Below are 17,857 nucleotides of genomic sequence, written 5' to 3'. Positions count from 1 at the left end.
TTGTGTGACTTGGGGACAGCCATTTAACTTGCCTAAACCTCAGTATTGTCACATTCAACAACTGTCACATTCTTCCAGCTGGCTGTTGTCGGGTCTGGTGAGATGGAGAGTCTGGAAGAGTGTATGTATGTAATAAAGGTTCATTCTCTCTCTCTGAGCTCTCTCCTTTCCCACCCCCATAGACCTCAGATTGCACTGGACTATTTTATCCCTTAAAGCGCTGACGGGGATGACAATGGAAAGAAAGTGTTGGGGACTGTGGCTGAGGTCCCAGGCATTCTTTGAAAACAAAGAGCATTCCTTTCAACCTCAGAAGATCTACGTCCCATGAACACTTGTTTCCCTCAACTCTGTCTTCCGAAAAAGCTTAGTATAAGCTAATAGTGAATAAAATAAAATTAAAAATGAAATCAACTTACAGTCATTTACAGTCGTCTCCAACCAGTTTGGCAAAGCCAGCATTTCTGGGTGTTTTCCTCTAAATGGAGAGTTGGTGTAAGTTCTCTCCTGAAGGAGCTAGAAAAAAGACTTTTTGCTAAGGCTTTGGAGGTAGGTAGCAGAGTCTTTTTAGTTTTATTTTTAAAAATAAGTCCTTGCTCCCATCCTACTGGCTTTGTTTTTACTTTTTCTCCTTTATTTATTTATTTATTTATTATTTATTTATTTTTGAGACGGAGTCTCGCTGTGTCATCCAGGCTGGAATGCAGTGGCACAATCTCAGCTCACTGTAACCTCTGCCTCCCAGGTTCAAGCGATTCTCCTGCCTCAGCCTCCTGAGTAGCTGGGACTGCAGGCTGTGCCACCACGCCCGGCTAATTTTTTGTATTTTTAGTAGAGACGGGGTTTCACTGTTTTAGCCAGGATGGTCTCCATCTCCTGACCTCATGATCCGCCCACTTCGGCCTCCCAAAGTGCTGGGATTACAGGTGTGAGCTACCTCGACCGGCCTCTCTTCTCCTTTAATGTAGTCTTATAATATTCTATAAACTTGAAGGAGGAGCCTTTTATAAAGTCATCTAGAAGTGCATTTATAGACAAGGGTGGAGAACATCCCTCGGCATTTTCTAGACTAAGGATTATTTATCGATGGGAAAAAATGCTACAGGGGCCCTTAGTGTGTATACTAAAAAATAATTATTGATTGAGCCAATTATAGTTATTGCAAACAAACCACAGAAAACCCCCTAATGCAACATTTTTGTCCTTTTTCCCAAGTTTTGTGTGAGAGTTTGTCTTAAAGACCAGCAGAGAACTCTTTACTTATGCATCCAAGCTGTGAGCTCTCTAAGTATTAGGCTGGGATTGTGAAAACTTTGTTCATTTTCAAATTTGATTGATTGTTTTCATACTGTTGATCTCCTTTGTTGCTTCCAAATGGCAGCATAAAATAACACTTCCTTCCTCTTTATACATTCCATCCCTCAACAAAATCATTCCAGGAATCCTCTGGGAGAGTCATTAATTCCTGGATAGTGTCATGGATAAAGGGCATAGTCAGAATTAGCTTATTCCTTCTTATACATTCCTGACCAAGTTGCAAACTCCTCCCCTTCACGTCCGATTCTTGATTATTATCTACAAAATAGGTTGCACAATGGCAGAGACCCCTGGGACTCCCTGTATAGGCTCTAAGGGCCAATTTGTATTGTGGTCAAGATCAGCCTGACTTTCGGGAAGGAAGTTGGCATCTGTCCTGTTTTCAGAGCCATTCTCTGGCTCAGTAAAGGTAAGAGCGGCCTAATAGGCACTTGGAATGGTTCCTTTCTATTCCCATAGCCAAGCTCCACATCCCTAAAGTTCTTTCCTGATTATTTGGAATGGAGAGTTGTTTTCCTTGCTAGGAACACTCTCTCCTATTCTGAGGGCTTGCCTGGACTTAGTGATTCAGACTAACACCTTCCCGATTCCCAAGTGAGTCACCCCAGAGCTGCACTCCAGCCCTAGGCCACAAAGGGGCAAAGACTGAGCTGTTTAAGAGCGCCTTGCTTTTGTAACCCTTTGAACTACTATACTTCTGTGGATTGCATCTCCCTTTGAAATTCGCCTATATGACGTGCCAATTTGAAGCTGTAATGGCGGTACTTAGGACTCAAAAGAAGGATCAAGAAAAAGACATTAAGGTTTTGAATAGATTATTCTAGGAGTCAGAGTCAAAGAAAGTAATTATTTATTGATTTATGGGTGGTGGTAGATTAAAATCCCAAAGTACAGGGAGCTGAAGACCTACTTTGAGACTGAGACAATGAGGTAATTAGAACAGCAATAGCATCCTTCATTTACCTATATAATCAACATCATTTCTGGTTTGGGCCATAGGTTTTCAGAGGCTTATAATTAATACACATGTTCAAAAATACCTTTTCAAGGACTCAGGATGAGCATGTGTCATGAGTATGTAAAAAAGGATGGAAGCAAGGAGAGTTTGTAGTTTCTAAAATAATGACTCCCATGACAAAGAATAAATATGTTTTATTTTATGATCTGAACTGGCTTCTTCCCAGGAGCCGTCATGAGTCTGATTCAACAAATGGCTAAGGTAGGAGTCAAGATGGTGACCTTCTCATTGTAAAAGGAAAAATTAAACAATGAACAACAAAATAAAAACAAAATAAATCACAAAAAAAGGGGAACTGATGCCTGACCAGGCTTAGATGTTGAGACTTAAAAAACATAACCCACTGGACTGTAACTCCTGTACTCACAAGCAGCCAGCTGATTCCTACCGTCGTCTGAGAGGTGGCTTGGACAGGTTAGGAGTAAACAGCCTGGGTTCAAATCTCGCTTCCACTTTTCCCTATCAGTGAATCTTGGGCATGTGGATGAGTCTTTGTGTGCCTCAGCTTCCCTCTCTACTTCTAATATGGGGAAATCAACAGTATCTCCTTCATGGGGTTGATGTAGAGTTAGGGATAAAATGCTTAGGAGTGCTTGGGACACAAATAGAGCTTAGCATTGTTATGACTTGAGTCTGTCCATTAGGTCCTAAACCTTCTTGATCTCAGCACATTAGACCCAGATGAACCAAGGCATGATAGCGAAGGGTTAAGTGTTTTGAACAGAATGGGTCCAGATTGCTGCTTTGTATTATCTGCGTGGCTACAGATAAGTTACATAACCTCTTTGAGCTCTTCTATTTCCTTGTTTGTGAAATAGGGTTAATAGTAGCATTCCTCCCAGAGATCCTCTGGGGTTTGCGAGATAACCCATGGACAGGACTGGCGCCTGGTTGTGAAGGCAGCAGAAGCTGGTTCCCACCGTGTCCCCATCAACTGGGCAGAATTCCTGGGTTTGGAGTGAGCAGGGGACTGGCACTGGTTAACTAAAGTAACAGGAGTTTCTTCCTCACCTTCCTCCCAACTCCCCAGTCCTTATGCCTCTTTGTGTACTTAACTGCTACCTTTGACCTCTTGTATCTCCTTTGCCTACCTCTCACCTTCTCACCTGCCTTCTGCCATTCCTTCTAACTGTCAACTCTGGCTGTTATCATAGTCTCCAGGAAGCATCTTAGAACCTCCAAGAACTTAAAGACCTTAAGGCCCCCAGACCCATTTCAACAGAGGAAAACTCTTGCCTTTCTTAAGACCACCCTCTGAAGGGGCAATTGATGAAAACAAACAGGGATGGTGGTGGTTGGGAGGGGGAAGAAACGAAACAAAACATTCACAACTTAAGATTTGGCTCAATGATATATTTGCCAGTTATTTTATTTTTTCTAAAAACAATAGAAAAAAATCAACTTTAAAAAGCAAAATGTACTTAAATAAAAAAAATTAGGGTTTATAGTACCTATAATACTAGGTACTATATACTAGGATTGAAATTCTGTGTAACTGCTATAAACGTTTTATTAAAGTTATTTACATTTAATGGCAATATTTACAGAGAAACATTGTGTAAATCTTAAAATTTTTTAAAAACAATTCTTAAATACAAATCTGTTAAAGAAAAAAAAAAGATGGTAAGCATAAAAAAGTTCTTTTATGCCCAAAGTCCAATTTGAGGCAGTTTACATTATGGCTAAATCTTTCAGTCTCAAGACTCAGCCAAGGTTGTGAGGTTGCATTTGATCATGCATTTGAAACAAGTTCATAGGTGATTGCTCAGGACATTTCTGTTAGAAGGAATCGTTTTCCTTACTTTTCCTTACGCACAAGAGTTCCGTAGCTGTTCAAGTTTGTGTTTCAACTGTTCTCGTCGTTTCCGCAACAAGTCCTCTTCAGAAATGAGCTTTTGCTCCTCTGCTTGGACGGACAGGATGTATGCTGTGGCTTTTTTAAGGATAACTACCTTGGGGGCCTTTTCATTGTTTTCCAACTCCGGGATCTGGTCACGCAGGGCAAAAAAGCTCCGTTTTAGCTCGTTCCTCCTCTGGCGCTCCAAGACGTTGTGTGTTCGCCTCTTGACATTCTCCTCGGTGTCCGAGGACCTGGGGCTGGTGCATTTTCGGTTGTTGCTGATCTGTCTCAGGACTCTGACACTGTCCAACTTGACCCTCTTGGCAGCAGGATAGTCCTTCCGAGTGGAGGGAGGCGCTGCGTAGTTGTGCTGATGTGTGGAGACGTGGCACCTCTTGAGGACCAGTGGGCTGTGAGGAGGTTTGCTGTGGCCTCCAGCAGAAGGTGATCCAGACTCTGACCTTTTGCCAGGAGCCTGCCTCTTTTCCACAGAAACAACATCGATTTCTTCCTCATCTTCTTGTTCCTCCTCTTTAAGAAAGGAAATAGAAATCACTCCTTTAGCAAGGTTACATTAAAATAATCAATTACCAGATTAATGCTGTACAAATACAAGGCATGAATACGTTAGAAAGGTCTCTGGACAAAATTATCTCCCCAAAGAGCCACATCTAAGCCTGGTGCCCTGGCTCACACCTGTAATCCCAGCACTTTGGGAGGCCGAGGTGGGCGGATCGTGAGGTCAGGAGAGACCATCCTGGCCAACACGATGAAACCCCATCTCTACTAAAATTACAAAAATTAGCCTGGCATGGTGGTGTGCACCTGTAGTCCCAGCTACTTGGGAGGCTGAGGCAGGAGAATCTCTTGAACCAGGGGGTTGGAGGTTGATTGCGCCACTGCACTCCAGCCTAGTGACAGAGTGAGACTCCGTCTTAAAAAAGGAAAAAAAAAAAAAAAGAACCAATCTAGCCAGCCACCCTTACTCCTCTCACCATGAAGGTAAGAGTCTCATAAAGGGAAAGACAGCTGGGTTATGGCATGGACAAGAAAAGTGCAACTTCCCAGGATAGGACATTGATGCCAATTCTTACCTAAGACTTAATGAGGCTTTGGACACACCCAAAGCAAAGCACATTCCCAAGCACCTCCTATTTTTGAGGGACTTTACCAAGAACACTTCAGGTGTTGCAAATGATAGCTGCAAATTGCTTGGTATGACTTTAGCAACTCCCTATTTTACTGGAAATGAAAAATAAAAAAAAAAAAATTGCAGTTTTGCCAAAAGTCCAAGAGGGCGGGGGAAGGAATAAAAGAAAAAAAAAAGTCCAACTTTGGCAAGGATTTGCTTTTCAGTGTTCAAAATAGGCTGAGAAGATCCCAGCTCCTCAGCCCACCCACTCTTGAGGCAGTTCACTGGCTCCCGCACTCAGGCAGGCCCTGCCTAGCCTCTAAACACAGCCCCTCATTTTTGTAGATAGTTCATTAAATCCCACCACTTCTCGGAAGTTAAGAGGGAAGCAATTCATTCACTCTCAGAGATCAATCCTCTCTTATCCTCATTCATACACTCCCTGCCACCCCGCCCCAGGGCAATTAAAATGTTAACGGGAGGTAAGAAGAAGTGGATTGAGTTGTAAGATAAGCCAGAAGGTTTAAAAACCTAAATGAAATTCCTGAGGGGTGGGAGACAAACGGGGAGGGGGGCTGCAAACATGGGCAGTCTAAGGGGAAGGGATGGGAGGAAACGCTAAAGCCCAAGGTTTCAGAGGTGATGAGCTCCCAAATCTCTCCAGATCTGCTATCTCTCCTTCCTAATAAGAGTGGCCCGTTAAATAAGCTGCCAATGAAAATGGGAAAGGTATCCAGCCGCCCACTTTTGACAGGCCTGGGCGGGCTTCGCTTACCAGAGTCGCTGCTGGTGGTGGGCGGTGTCTCCTCATGGAGCACCAGGGGCTCGGGGCTGCCCTGCGGGGAGGACTCCGTCGAGGAGAGCAGAGAATCCGAGGACGGAGAGAAGGCGCTGGAGTCTTGCGAGGCGCAGGACTTGGGCGAGCTGCTGTCGTTGAGAGGGTAGGGGAAGACCACCGAGGGGTCGATGCACTCTGAGGCGGCGGCGCTCAGATCCTGCAGGTACAAGCTGGAGGTGGAGCAGACGCTGTGGCCGCGGGCGGGGTTCGGGCTGCCGCTGTCTTTGCGCGCAGCCTGGTAGGAGGCCAGCTTCTCTGAGACGAGCTTGGCGGCGGCCGAGAAGCCGCTCCACATACAGTCCTGGATGATGATGTTTTTGATGAAGGTCTCGTCGTCCGGGTCGCAGATGAAACTCTGGTTCACCATGTCTCCTCCCAGCAGCTCGGTCACCATCTCCAGCTGGTCGGCCGTGGAGAAGCTCCCGCCACCGCCGTCGTTGTCTCCCCGAAGGGAGAAGGGTGTGACCGCAACGTAGGAGGGCGAGCAGAGCCCGGAGCGGCGGCTAGGGGACAGGGGCGGGGTGGGCAGCAGCTCGAATTTCTTCCAGATATCCTCGCTGGGCGCCGGGGGCTGCAGCTCGCTCTGCTGCTGCTGCTGGTAGAAGTTCTCCTCCTCGTCGCAGTAGAAATACGGCTGCACCGAGTCGTAGTCGAGGTCATAGTTCCTGTTGGTGAAGCTAACGTTGAGGGGCATCGTCGCGGGAGGCTGCTGGAGCGGGGCACACAAAGCGGGAGGCAGTCTTGAGTTAAAGGGGTCTTGGTGCGGAAACCTGGCGCAGCGCGCAGTGCGCGCCACAGTCCCGAACCTCTCCCCTTGCAGAGCTATCCCCTAAAGCGGCTGGGTGGTCTTGGTGGGGGAATAAAGGGAGCACCCTTTCACCCCCTTTGGACAGTCCCCTGCTATCTCGGAGACGCACTTAGTGAACCAGCGGCTTGGTGCCCGCCGAGCCCCCGCTCCCCCGGGAGCCCGGAGCGCAAAGCCCGGGAGTCGGCCCCGCAGCGGCAGAGGAATCGAAATCGGCCCTGGCGCCCTTAAGAAGCCGCGGGAGGTGGCGGTGAGGAAAACAATTTGCCAAAATCCAAGGCACAAAGTTTTGCGCCACCTGAAGGAGAAGGCGAGAGGCGCCTGGGCGCTAGCGGCTGCGTGAACCCCGCTCCGCGCCGGGGCCCCTCCGCTGCGGCTGTTCCCACTCGCGCCCTAGCCGCTCTCCTACCCCCGCCGGCACCGCAGCCCCTCCCAACCTTCCCTCTCCACCGCCCCCGTCCCCACCCCCAGTACCGCCCCCGTCCAACACTCCTTTTGCCAGCTTTTCTTCTTTCTCTCGCCGGCTGGAGTGGCGAGCTCAGCCGCGGGCTTTAACACCCCTCCATAAATACAAGGGGGGTGTCAAATAATAATAGGGGCACCTCCCTTCGCACTCAATACGGAGATGCAACTGCGCCAGAGACCCCGCTGCGATACCTCCCCCGGAGCCACCCCACCAAGGGTAGCAGCTGTTCTGGAACCGCCCAGAGCCCCGCTCCTCGCAGTTCCTCCGCATCTCGGGCGCGAGGACACCCGAGGGCGGCCGCGGCAGGGGAGTCAGGGCTGGGTGCGGAGATTCGCCCTGGTTTTTCCAAGTCAACGATTCCAGGAGAATCGGACACATCCTCGCCTCCCTTTTCCCCTGCCTGCGCCTACCCAACACCACGTCCTAACACCTCTAGAGACCCAGGTTTTAAATTGTATTATTGCTTTTTAAAAAGCCAAATGCCAACTTCTTAAAAGGATCAGGGCGGGTTGGAATCGCCGCGGGGACAGGCGGGCGGGACGCGCCGCAGTGTCCGTCTCCGGCTGTCAGAAATGCGGTGAGCCGAAATTTAAATGCCCTCCCGGAGACGGGGACAAGTCAGCGGCTGCGGAGCGATCTGGCTCACACAGGCGATATGCGGTCCCTACTCCAAGGAGCTCAGGATGCAAGGGGCTTTCTGCCCACCGCAAAGCAACCCCCAGCCCCCCAAAACCCAGAGAGCAATTAACACAATAAAGCAGGAATGTCCGACCGGCCGGGAGTCAGCGTGAATATATTCATAAGGCAGAAATCTCGAAAGGGTAGTCTTAAAAACCATTCCCGTTTTCCCTCTGCCTTCTCCTCTCCCATCTTGACAAGTCACTTTACCCCGATCCAGTTCTGGATTACCCCCCACCCCAGCCCCAGTTACCATAACTACTCTGAGAAAAGTGTCAATAGCGCAGGAATGGGAGAAAAGACACCCTATTTAGGCATTCGACTCATCTCAGCATTAAAGTGATAAAAAAATAAATTAAAAGGCAAGTGGACTTCGGTGCTTACCTGGTTTTCCACTACCCGAAAAAAATCCAGCGTCTAAGCAGCTGCAAGGAGAGCCTTTCAGAGAAGCGGGTCCTGGCAGCGGCGGGGAAGTGTCCCCAAATGGGCAGAATAGCCTCCCCGCGTCGGGAGAGTCGCGTCCTTGCTCGGGTGTTGTAAGTTCCAGTGCAAAGTGCCCGCCCGCTGCTATGGGCAAAGTTTCGTGGATGCGGCAAGGGTTGCGGACCGCTGGCTGGGGGATCAGCGGGAGGGCTGGGCCAGAGGCGAAGCCCCCTATTCGCTCCGGATCTCCCTTCCCAGGACGCCCGCAGCGCAGCTCTGCTCGCCCGGCTCTTCCACCCTAGCCGGCCGCCCGCTCGCTCCCTCTGCCTCTCGCTGGAATTACTACAGCGAGTTAGATAAAGCCCCGAAAACCGGCTTTTATACTCAGCGCGATCCCTCCCTCCGTTCTTTTTCCCGCCAAGCCTCTGAGAAGCCCTGCCCTTCTCGAGGCAGGAGGGGAGCCAGGGACGGCCGGGGCCCGGCGGTGGCGGCCGCGAGCAGCACAGCTCGGGGGTCCTCAGCCGTCCAGACCCTCGCATTATAAAGGGCCGGTGGGCGGAGATTAGCGAGAGAGGATCTTTTTTCTTTTCCCCCACGCCCTCTGCTTTGGGAACCCGGGAGGGGCGCTTATGGGGAGGGTGGGGAGGGTGGGGAAGGTGGGGAGGAGACTCAGCCGGGCAGCCGAGCACTCTAGCTCTAGGATGTAAACAGAGTAAGAGAGCCGCATGAATTAACTACGCGCGCCTACCATTTTCTTTTGCTCCCTCTCAAACCCTCTCCCTTTCTCTGCTGCTCCTCCGTAGCAGTACTGTTTGACAAACCGCATCCTTGTCCTGTGAGTATAAATCATCGCAGGCGGAACAGCTGCCCTCCACACCGAGAACGCACTGCGCGCCCACCGCCACGCCACGCGCGTACCAGGCTGCAGGGCGCCTCGCTAAGGCTGGGGAAAGGGCCGCGCTTTGATCAAGAGTCCCAGGGAGAGTGGAGGAAAGAAGGGTATTAATGGGCGCGCGTTCAGAGCGTGGGATGTTAGTGTAGATAGGGAGGAATGATAGAGGCATAAGGAGGAAAACGATGCCTAGAATGATTAAAATAACCCAGCAACGCATTGCCACGTATACTTGGAGAGCGCGTTATGAATAAACTCCCATTGCATTTGTTGGGGGGAGTCATGTATTATGCATTATGTATGCACAGCTATCTGGATTGGATACCTTCCACCCAGACTGAGTCCCCCAATTTGCTGCCAAAGCAGCAGATACCGCCCCTCCTGCCCCGCCTGCTCAGGCTTCCGTGGGGCCCCGTGCGGGAGGCGTCTGTTTAGCCCTGAGATGTGTCTGCCTGTTCCAGAGCTGGGCTAGGGCGAGAGGGAGGTTGCCTGCTCTCTGCCAGTCTGTACCCCACCGTCCCACCCCCACGCCTCCCACACGGAGTTCCCAATTTCTCAGCCAGGTTTCAGAAGAGACAAATCCCCTTTGCGCCCTGTGGCGCCGGTTTGCAACAGTCTCGGGCTGCCGGGTTTGGGAGAAATCAAAGGTGCTAGACGGGAGAATATGGGAGGGGCAGGGGGTACCCGAACCGCGGGACCGGACTTCCTAAAAGGGGCAAGTGGAGAGCTTGTGGACCGAGCCGGGGGAGTCAGCAGAGACCCTTGTGAAAAAAACCGTTAACTCTTTCCTCCCCGGACAAACCGGACGTTTAATTCCTTTCCAGGTCCTCTTTCCCCTTTTATTATTGGAAATGCGGTCATGCACAAAAAATGCATCGATTCTGATCAAAGAAGAGGAGAGGAGTATTACTTCCGTGCCTTTTTTTGGGGGGGGGGGAGTCTTGAGCTAATTAAAATTTGGCTGCCTTCCAGGCATTAATTTCCTAGTTCACTGACTCACAATTTTTTCTGAATACTAGTGAAAGTGCACTGTATGTAACCCGCAAACGTGTATTCACATTTTATTTACGCTTCGACTTAGCTAGTTGCCCAGCCCCACACATGATTTGTTTGCTCCCTGAAATGATCTATATTTAATATATAATGTATATTCCCTCGGGATTTTTTATTTTGTGTTATTCCACGGCATGAAAAACAAAAAACATTCTTCTCATCCTTGGTCCCTCACCCAAAGGCATTTTAAGTAAACTTTTCTCTCCCTCCACCACCTCCAAAAGAGAAAACAATTCGGGGGAAAGGGGTGCGTGTATAGCATGTACGCTGTTCAAGATGGGTTATTACCCGTTGAGTTTGCAGCTCAGCGTTCAAGTGTTAAGTGAATATAGTAGCTTCCAAATCCGATGCACTGCACAATTCAGCTTTAAGGATTGCAAATTACTCCTGCCTCCAGGCCTTTGCCGCAAACGCGGGGAGCAACCAATCGCTATGCTGGATTTTGCTGCAAAGCGTCTTTCCCTCCGCCCCCTCTCTGGGCAGCACCCGCGTTCAGGTTTGCGAAAGTAAAGTAAGTGTGCCCTCTACTGGCAGCAGAGATCATCGCGCCTGGATGTCAACGAGGGCGGGGGTCAGGTGGGGGCAGGAGCAGGAGCGTCCGAGGTGCAAGGTTTCCAGCGGGGGAAGGACAGGCGGTTCCTTAAAACAAGTTTCCAGCCACCTCCTTGTTATTCTTTCAGGTTGGCTGCAGAAGGTCCGAAGAAAGAGGAGTTACTGGAGGAAAAAGTGGTTCAGAGGTGACTATTCAACCGCATAAGAGATGGTGAAAATTAACCTATCACCACTGCTAATGAACATCACCCTATGGAGAACCGGTAATGGCAAACGTGAAATAATTCACAAGTACATAGACGAAAAAAAAATTCCAACAAACCCTAAAACGGCCAAACAAGCTTTAGCCCCCACGTCTTAGAAACTCATCATCTTTTTTAACCACAAAATTTGAAAGCAAGACACTGGATTTATTGGGGAAAGGGGAGGCACAGCAGAAGGTGATGGGTATTTGGTTTGGCCTATTATTATTAATTATTATTCTTATTATTTTTGAGACAGGGTCTCCTTCTGTCACCCAGGCTGGAGTGCAGTGGCACAATCAAAGCTCACTGCAGCCTCGATCCCCCCGGGCTCAAAGCAAACCTCCTACCTCAGCCTGATACCCCAGCCCAGTAGCTGGGAGTGCAGTGCACCACCACACCCGGTTAATTTTTTAAACTTTTTGTAGAGAGGCAGTCTGGTCATGTTGCCCAGGCTGGTCTCAAACTCCTCGGTTAAAGCGATCCTTCGGCCTTTGCCTCTGAAACTGCTGGGAATACAAGTGCGAGTCATCGCTCCTGGCCTTGGCTTATTATTTTTACTTTTAAAATATTGGGCTGGTGAATAATAAGTGATTTTTTTTAATAGCAAGAAGGGGTATTTGAGATCTCATAGAAAAAAAGTGTGAAGGAATAGGAGCATTTTATTAAAGGTTTTAATACTAAAATGAGTATGCAATAAGGTTGAAGTAAATGTGAAGGAAATTTACCTGGCACGTGTCCCTGGTCAAGTAGGTTTTTACGGGGCAAAGAATCCCTGACGGTGTCTGATCACTTAGATGCCCTAAGGACTTCTGGCAGTGGAGGTTCCTTCCCGCAGGAGCCTTGTAGGCTGATTTCCCAGGAATCTGGCACTTTTGGCATTACTCTAATTGAAGCTAAATGAGTGCTCTCCACAGGGGCATGCACTCCCCGCCCCTCAAAGAAAACCCTCAACAACAAACAAACAACAATGGCAAAACCAAAAGTAGGTCCAGCTTGACCTCATAGGGTAGTTTTTGAAAGTTGCTAAAGATGGCGGATATACCACATCTTCGGATCTGACTCTCAAATTATGCCAGTCCAGTGTAGGGCATGTGAACCCCAGGCAGATATAATGCCTGTGGGTTCAGAACTTAACCTCACTCTCCCTCAGGCTGGTGACATCACCTGAGGTGTTACTTTCAAGTAACAGCTTGGAGTTGTTTTGTGCCATCTCCATTTTTACATGAGAGAAAACAAAGCCAGACCTCAGCCAGGTTAAAGGACATAACTGATTTTCTTTTAGTAATTTTTGAGACATATTTGACCTAGAATAGACATTTGCTGGGTTGAAAAATGGCTGAGATTACAACTAGTATCATGTATAACTACCAAAGTGATACGTGTCCATTGGAAAAATCCATTGAGAAATAGAAAAAGAAAGGAAAAGGCCGTGTGTGGTGGCTTATGCTTGTAGTCCCAGCACTTTGGGAGGCTCAAGTGGGAGCATCGTTTGAGGCCAGGAGTTCGACAACAGCCTGGGCAATGTGGTGACGTGCCATCTCTAAAAAAAAAAAAAGAAAAAAAAAAAAAGAAAAGAAGAAGAAGAAAGAAAGAAAAGAAAAGAGAGTTTTTTCTTCTTTAATTTTTTTTTTAAGACAGGGTCTCACCCTGTAGTCTAGGCTGGAAGGCAGTGGAATAATCATGACTCACTGCAGCCTCGACCTCCCTGGACTCAGGTGATCCTCCTACCTGAGCCTCCTGAGTAGTTGGGTCTACAGGCACAAACCCCACGCTTGGCTAATTTTTGAATTTTTTTTTTTGTAGAGATGGGGGTCTCACTATGTTGCCCAGGCTGGTCTCAAACTCCTAGACTCTGGTGATTCTCCTGCCTCAGCCTAAGTGATTCTCCTGCCTCAGCCTTCCAAAGTTCTGGGATTACAAAGGCATTAGCCACCATACCCAGCCTCCTCTCCTTCTTCTTCTTCTTCTTCTTCTTTTTTGTTTTTTAATAGAGGTACATTTTTGGTAGAGATGAGGTCTCACTGTGTTGCTCAGGCTTGGTCTCCAGCTCCTGGCCTCAAGCAATCCTCCGGCCTGAAGCAATTGTCCTGCCTCAGCCTCTGGAGTAGATGGAGTTACAGGCGTGAACCATGACACCTGGCCTGAAAGTGGTTCTTAATACTGACCAGTCAGAGGTAGTTGATGAAGTTTATCTTTTAGGAAGACATTTTAGGGACATCTTTGGTCTTTCACCTCAATTTTTTTTGGAAGACCATGGAAGTTGCCTTCTGACTAATTGCCCCTTGCTTGTTGCTCTAGCAGCACTCTTTTTTGTTGGCTCCCCCTGTTATTTGGAGCTGCTGCTGAGTGGGTTGGGCTTCTAAGAACAGGCAGGTCTCCTGGAGGGCCGGGGTTGGGACTCTAGGTCAACAGTCTGATGGGGCGGCCTCACAGAACAGAATAGTGTGTAGCTAGAGGAAACATTTTTTTTTCACATAGGAAGGCACAAATAATCATTCATTCTTGGCCATGCGCCTGTAATCCTAGCACTTTGTGAGGCCGAGGTGAGAGGATCATGAGGTCAGGAGTTCAAGACCAGCCTGACCAACATGGTGAAACCCCGTCTCCACTAAAAATACAAAAATTAGCTGGGGGTGGTGGAGCGCACCTGTAGTCCCAGCTACTCAGGAGGCTGAGGCAGGAGAATTGCTTGAACCCGGGAGGCAGATGTTGCAGTGAGCCAAGATCGTGCTACTGCACTCCAGCCTGGGTGACAGCGAGAGACTCCGTTTCAAAAAAAAAAAAAAAAAAAAAAGAATCATTCATTCTCACAATCACATAGTCTCACAGTAGTAGTAGTCATATATTTTTATACTTAGGAAAAAAGAAAGAAGTGCAGAAATAATGAGCGATTTGATCAAACTTTCTCCTTTCTCCCCAGAGACACAAAAGGGAAGATTCAGAATGTGTGACTTGTATAAAATAAAACCAGTTTCCCCCGACCCCAACACCTTCTTTGAACATCTCTTTCTCCACCTCTCAAAAAATTTCCTACTGAGTTGGTCCTCTAGTGAAAAGAGCAGTTAATAAGATGGAAAGCAACTGGACGTGGTGAAGAAAAAGCCAGCGAACTTAGGGGTGAGACTGAAGCCCCTCAGGGTGGCTGAGCTGCTATTTGAAAAATTCCTTCAAGTCACGTGCGGCCTGTCAAGAGATGAGGTGAAGGAAGAGAATGATAAATATCTATCTCCAGTGGAAGGATCATTTTGAAAGAAGGGCTGTTAGATTAAAAACCAAGCTAGCCAGGGAACGTTAAAGGAAGAGAAGTTCTCACAAGCATTTTAATGCCAAGCATGTGTTCCAACGAGAGGAACACAGGAAAGCTCTTCAGCAGATGAGAAAATGAAATTCGGCATCACTAATTCATAGGAATGATAACAAAAACGGCAGTGAAGAAAATCTGTGCATTTTAAAAAATGCATGTTTTTTGCTTAGTGTTGTCCCTTCCCCTCCTGGCTTTTAGTATACTGCATTCATTAAAGTAGCTGAGAAGAAAAATAGTAGATGCTGTTAACGTCAGGCCTGAGAGCTTCCATATCCTGTGTTGCGTTGAGTTTTGGGTTTGTTTCCTTATTCACTGTCTTCTAGATCTCAGACCCTAGCAGAAGGTCTCAGAATGGACCTAGTAAACTTTGGTCATACCTCCAGCTTGGCCTTCTTTTATTTTTTTGTTCTTTGCTGCAACCCTGCCTTACTTTGTAGCTACTAGAGTGGACAAATGGTTCCTTTGTTGAACCCCTTCAAAGGCTTGGTTTATTGTTCTATAAGTGCCAAGCTCAAGCCAGTCTCAAAAGTTTCCACACTTTGGCTCACTGGCCTGTCTCTGCTATGGTCCTTTTGGACAACATATGTCCCCACAATGGGCCCTTGCGTGGTTGGACATACAGGTCACTGCAAAGGAAACCCTTGGAGAGAAACTTTTGCTTTTTACAATTTGATCTTCATAGAAAGTCAGTAGAATAGGAATCTATTCTTTTAGGGATCTGCAGAGATCCCAAGCTATGGCTTCTGACTTTCTTTTCAAAGGCATACTTTCTGAGAGTAGCTCACCCTTGGTTGTTTTCACTTTTATATTGTTTGTTTCCTCTGTAACGTCTTCTACATGGACTTGATATTATAGAGGGTGCTTTCTTGAAGGTATCTCATGACCTCCAACCACCAAAGCCAATGGTCTTGTTCTCATTTTATTTTTGGACTTTGCTGTTTGCTGTCAGGCTTTTGGAAATGATTATTCTTTTGATTTCCATAAATCAGTGGGTCTCAACCAGAGGCAATTGGCAATGTCTGGAGACATTTTGGGTTGTCACTAAGGGATGGGGCCTTACTACTTGGCGTTTTTAGTGGGTAGAGGCCAACGATGCTGCTAAATGTCCTACATTGCACAGGACGGCTCCCACAACAGAGAGTGGGGCTCAAAATGTCACCAGTGCTGAGGTTGAGAATCCCTGGGTTCACTCCACATTCTCCTGATTATATTCCCACATATTCAACTTGTTCTTCTGTTTCCCTTATTGGCTCACTTTCCTCTTTTACCCACTACCTATGGCTGTTAGAATCATCTTGCAGTAGATTCCTAATAGCTCCTAGTCTCTGCCACTCCATTTAACCTTGCACACTGATTAATTTTCCTCTTCATTTAAAATTCTTCAGTTGACCCCCATGGTCCAAAATGAGGTTCTCCATTATGAGCTTGGAATTCCAAGCCCTCATGCATCTGGCCTCCTCCTTATCTTACCCTATTTCTTACCAACTCTGCACTTCAGAGAAACAGGTCTATTTACAGCCACTCTGAGTGACACACAAGTTTCCACCTCAGCACTTTGGTTCAGGCAGTTCCCCAGACTTACTGTCTCTTCTCTTCTTGATTTATCTAAGAACCACCTTTCCTCCCAGCCCAAGTTCAAGCCCCATTTTCTCTGTGGACTCTTCCTTTTCCCATGATCATCTTACAGAATCATAAAAGCATGGAGCCAGAAAAAGTTCTGGAAAACCTCTAATTAAGCTGCTGAAACATAAACCTTTGTTCTCAGGGTAGAATCCAGGGTCTCCGGCTAAAATAGACTAACTGTGGTTTTCTAGCTGTCAGAGAAAGGCCTCCTTTTTCTCTTCTTCATGAGATTATAAATGTCCCGGGGGTCTAGAGGAGGGGTAGCATTAGAAGAGATATCTAATGTAGATGATGGGTTGGTAGGTGCAGCAAACCACCATGGCATGTGTATACCTATGTAACAAACCTGCATGTTCTGCACATGTATCCCAGAACTTAAAGTATAATTAAAAGAAAAGAGAGAGAAATAAATAAATAAATAAAATAGAATGTTATCAGCCCCTGCCAAAAAAAAAAAAAAGTCCCAAGGCCAGGAATCAAGTCTGGCCCATAGTTAATGTGAATGAATGTATGCTGACTCTACACTGGGTAAGAGAATGAAGTCAATGGGCAGACTTTCTCAATAACTTTTTGGCTACACAAGAATCTAGAATATAAGGACGGGTTGCTGAATCAGCTTGGTTGGAGGACTACTCTGTCATGATCACCTGATAAATCTGTCAAGTCACATGACCTCTCTGAATCTCACTTTTCTCATCTGTAAAATGGGATTACTATAATTGTAGCACCTATCTTATTGAAGGTGTTACAGGAATTAAGTGAGATAAGGCATTCAGCACAGAGCCTGCTGTCTGGCCCACACTCAGCAAATGTTAGCAATTGTTAATGTGAGTTCCAGATTTAGCAGAAAGTTATGTATTGAGCTGTTTTAAGTTAAATGTATCAATATTGCATGGTGTTTCATAGTGAGTTCCATGAAATTGATGTCCTTTATCACTTCATCAAGTGTGAAAAATTGTGGACTAATACAAGCTTGTCAAGTTGAGGTTTAGAATCACAAAGAGATTATCTAATGTTTGGAGACAATTCCAAACCCACCCCCTTCCTGTCTCCAACTCTTGCACGACTTACTATTCCAAGTGTATGCTGTTTTGCAGATCACTCTATTCAGAAAAAGCAAAATTCTGGAAGTTCAGGAAGGCAGAATTAGGCATTGTTCCTATTTAATACGAATCAACGCTTTATGTTAGGATTTCCCGCCTTTCACTGAATTCATATGATGCCCCGGGGCTAATCCCTGGGGTGTGGTCCTGGAAACCCAGGGCACCTTTATTGCTGGCTAGACAAGGCTGCTACTGAAATCTACAGCTTGCTTTTTTTTTTGTCTTGGTGAGTGGATCTGGGCATTGGAAAAACTGTTTTCCTTCAAAGCATAAAGCGTAAATCAACAACCAGGTTTAGAAACTCTTTCTAACTTCTGATCCACATTTTCCGCTAACACATCAAGGGTTGCCAACTCAGATGCTTACAGAGGTTTGGCAGGAAATGTAAACGAAGAATACAATAGGGAGTGGTGGAGACTGGTAAACTGGAGAGCATTTGCCTGTGTAGGTCTGGTGGCTCCCATTTGGCACCTGCTCTGGTGGTTACCCTGAAATATGGGCCCATGGGTGGAAATGCTTCCAGTTTTTCAGGGAAGGTGGAAATCCAGGTTTTAAAATGTTAACAACT

At 47.1% G+C, this 17,857-nt stretch overlaps 1 protein-coding gene and 1 long non-coding RNA gene across 4 annotated transcripts in view, besides 23 other annotated features; one reads left to right on the top strand and one right to left on the bottom strand.

Annotated features, from left to right (window-relative positions):
• Positions 1,255–2,454: an enhancer, noted in NCBI's record as "CDK7 strongly-dependent group 2 enhancer chr8:128754894-128756093 (GRCh37/hg19 assembly coordinates)". NCBI's record gives its function as "activates an origin of replication core promoter dependent on BRD2, BRD4, P300/CBP, MED14 and CDK7 cofactors, with strong dependence on CDK7, by STARR-seq in HCT116 cells {active_cell/tissue: HCT116}" and the evidence as "EXISTENCE:reporter gene assay evidence [ECO:0000049][PMID:35650434]".
• MYC (MYC proto-oncogene, bHLH transcription factor) lies at positions 2,151–9,668 on the bottom strand. Of its 2 annotated transcripts, none has more exons than NM_001354870.1 (3): positions 8,479–9,668; positions 6,083–6,851; positions 2,151–4,706 (listed from the first exon to the last, which is right to left on the bottom strand). In NM_001354870.1, exons 1-3 carry the CDS (start codon positions 8,506–8,508, stop codon positions 4,144–4,146), a joined length of 1,362 nt encoding a protein of 453 aa, NP_001341799.1. In that variant the 5' UTR covers positions 8,509–9,668; the 3' UTR covers positions 2,151–4,143. The 2 variants fall into 2 exon arrangements, with proteins under 2 accessions (NP_001341799.1, NP_002458.2); NM_002467.6 differs by having other exon boundaries at positions 6,083–6,854; positions 8,479–8,871.
• Positions 8,961–9,361: a DNaseI hypersensitive site, noted in NCBI's record as "DHIII1; the nucleotide coordinates are approximate for this feature". NCBI's record gives the evidence for it as "EXISTENCE:in vivo cleavage assay evidence [ECO:0001075][PMID:6327064]".
• Positions 8,961–9,994: an origin of replication, noted in NCBI's record as "pNeo.Myc3'-1030 fragment; allows replication of a plasmid". NCBI's record gives the evidence for it as "EXISTENCE:nucleotide analog incorporation evidence [ECO:0001107][PMID:7626216]".
• Positions 8,961–11,358: an origin of replication, noted in NCBI's record as "2.4 kb HindIII/XhoI fragment; contains multiple putative sites of leading strand initiation; allows replication of a plasmid and can function in an ectopic context (PMID:10409757)". NCBI's record gives the evidence for it as "EXISTENCE:electron microscopy evidence [ECO:0005033][PMID:7799437]", "EXISTENCE:genetic transformation evidence [ECO:0005027][PMID:2157194, PMID:7626216, PMID:7799437]", "EXISTENCE:nucleotide analog incorporation evidence [ECO:0001107][PMID:7626216, PMID:7799437, PMID:10409757]" and "EXISTENCE:two-dimensional agarose gel electrophoresis evidence [ECO:0000339][PMID:7799437]".
• Positions 8,966–9,155: a silencer, noted in NCBI's record as "silent region_19530". NCBI's record gives its function as "represses an Ori minimal core promoter by ATAC-STARR-seq in GM12878 lymphoblastoid cells {active_cell/tissue: GM12878}" and the evidence as "EXISTENCE:reporter gene assay evidence [ECO:0000049][PMID:35858748]".
• Positions 9,236–9,639: an origin of replication, noted in NCBI's record as "11 amplicon; peak of nascent strand synthesis detected after lambda exonuclease treatment and competitive PCR assay". NCBI's record gives the evidence for it as "EXISTENCE:nuclease protection assay evidence [ECO:0001106][PMID:10861842]".
• Positions 9,579–9,979: a DNaseI hypersensitive site, noted in NCBI's record as "DHII2; the nucleotide coordinates are approximate for this feature". NCBI's record gives the evidence for it as "EXISTENCE:in vivo cleavage assay evidence [ECO:0001075][PMID:6327064]".
• Positions 9,643–12,385: a transcriptional cis regulatory region, noted in NCBI's record as "MYC promoter-proximal element (GRCh37/hg19 assembly coordinates) targeted for CRISPR interference". NCBI's record gives its function as "positively regulates MYC gene expression in K562 erythroleukemia cells {active_cell/tissue: K562}" and the evidence as "EXISTENCE:manual assertion [ECO:0000218][PMID:33828297]" and "EXISTENCE:mutant phenotype evidence [ECO:0000015][PMID:27708057]".
• Positions 9,643–12,466: a biological region, named in NCBI's record as "NANOG hESC enhancer GRCh37_chr8:128744882-128745383". NCBI's record gives its function as "regulatory_interactions: MYC".
• Positions 10,162–10,378: an origin of replication, noted in NCBI's record as "D amplicon; peak of labeled nascent strand synthesis in competitive PCR assay". NCBI's record gives the evidence for it as "EXISTENCE:nucleotide analog incorporation evidence [ECO:0001107][PMID:9809750]".
• Positions 10,219–10,619: a DNaseI hypersensitive site, noted in NCBI's record as "DHII1; the nucleotide coordinates are approximate for this feature". NCBI's record gives the evidence for it as "EXISTENCE:in vivo cleavage assay evidence [ECO:0001075][PMID:6327064]".
• Positions 10,429–11,358: an origin of replication, noted in NCBI's record as "pNeo.Myc5'-930 fragment; allows replication of a plasmid; contains multiple putative sites of leading strand initiation". NCBI's record gives the evidence for it as "EXISTENCE:nucleotide analog incorporation evidence [ECO:0001107][PMID:7626216]".
• Positions 10,522–10,623: a protein binding site, noted in NCBI's record as "DUE (DNA unwinding element)". NCBI's record gives its function as "required for loading of replication factors" and the evidence as "EXISTENCE:protein binding evidence [ECO:0000024][PMID:15653697]".
• Positions 10,531–10,612: a replication regulatory region, noted in NCBI's record as "DUE (DNA unwinding element); found to be important in DNA replication by competitive PCR assay of size-fractionated nascent strands". NCBI's record gives its function as "important for loading of replication factors and initation of replication" and the evidence as "EXISTENCE:fractionation evidence [ECO:0000100][PMID:12589000]".
• Positions 10,658–10,681: a protein binding site, noted in NCBI's record as "MF0677; preference for single-stranded sequence; methylation sensitive". NCBI's record gives the evidence for it as "EXISTENCE:protein binding evidence [ECO:0000024][PMID:1545807, PMID:1448097]".
• Positions 10,689–11,089: a DNaseI hypersensitive site, noted in NCBI's record as "DHI; the nucleotide coordinates are approximate for this feature". NCBI's record gives the evidence for it as "EXISTENCE:in vivo cleavage assay evidence [ECO:0001075][PMID:6327064]".
• Positions 10,941–11,060: a silencer, noted in NCBI's record as "silent region_19529". NCBI's record gives its function as "represses an Ori minimal core promoter by ATAC-STARR-seq in GM12878 lymphoblastoid cells {active_cell/tissue: GM12878}" and the evidence as "EXISTENCE:reporter gene assay evidence [ECO:0000049][PMID:35858748]".
• Positions 11,117–11,276: an origin of replication, noted in NCBI's record as "A amplicon; peak of labeled nascent strand synthesis detected in competitive PCR assay". NCBI's record gives the evidence for it as "EXISTENCE:nucleotide analog incorporation evidence [ECO:0001107][PMID:9809750]".
• Positions 11,135–17,857, top strand: part of CASC11 (cancer susceptibility 11) — a 33,360-nt gene continuing 26,637 nt past the window's right edge. The window contains exons 1-2 of one of the 2 annotated variants that reach the window (NR_117101.1): positions 11,135–11,277; positions 14,180–14,908. This is a non-coding gene — a long non-coding RNA (cancer susceptibility 11). Of the gene's footprint in view, positions 11,278–14,179; positions 14,909–17,857 lie in introns of those variants that run through there. The other variant, NR_117102.1, reaches the window with a different exon arrangement.
• Positions 11,148–11,358: an origin of replication, noted in NCBI's record as "HindIII/PstI fragment in pmyc(H-P) construct; allows replication of a plasmid". NCBI's record gives the evidence for it as "EXISTENCE:genetic transformation evidence [ECO:0005027][PMID:3053161, PMID:2216716, PMID:1324192]".
• Positions 11,203–11,224: an origin of replication, noted in NCBI's record as "135-155 fragment; allows replication of a plasmid". NCBI's record gives the evidence for it as "EXISTENCE:genetic transformation evidence [ECO:0005027][PMID:2686984]".
• Positions 11,203–11,224: a protein binding site. NCBI's record gives the evidence for it as "EXISTENCE:protein binding evidence [ECO:0000024][PMID:2686984, PMID:1324192]".
• Positions 11,203–11,224: a protein binding site. NCBI's record gives the evidence for it as "EXISTENCE:protein binding evidence [ECO:0000024][PMID:8134115, PMID:7838710]".
• Positions 11,965–12,466: an enhancer, noted in NCBI's record as "NANOG hESC enhancer chr8:128744882-128745383 (GRCh37/hg19 assembly coordinates)". NCBI's record gives its function as "activates a minimal SCP1, AML or CMV promoter by ChIP-STARR-seq in naive H9 embryonic stem cells {active_cell/tissue: H9 hESC(naive)}" and the evidence as "EXISTENCE:reporter gene assay evidence [ECO:0000049][PMID:30033119]".

The sequence above is a fragment of the Homo sapiens genome, chromosome 8, assembly GCF_000001405.40.
Source record: "Homo sapiens chromosome 8, GRCh38.p14 Primary Assembly".
NCBI classification, from domain to species: domain Eukaryota; kingdom Metazoa; phylum Chordata; class Mammalia; order Primates; family Hominidae; genus Homo; species Homo sapiens.
This window is presented reverse-complemented; position numbering and strand designations above follow the sequence as displayed.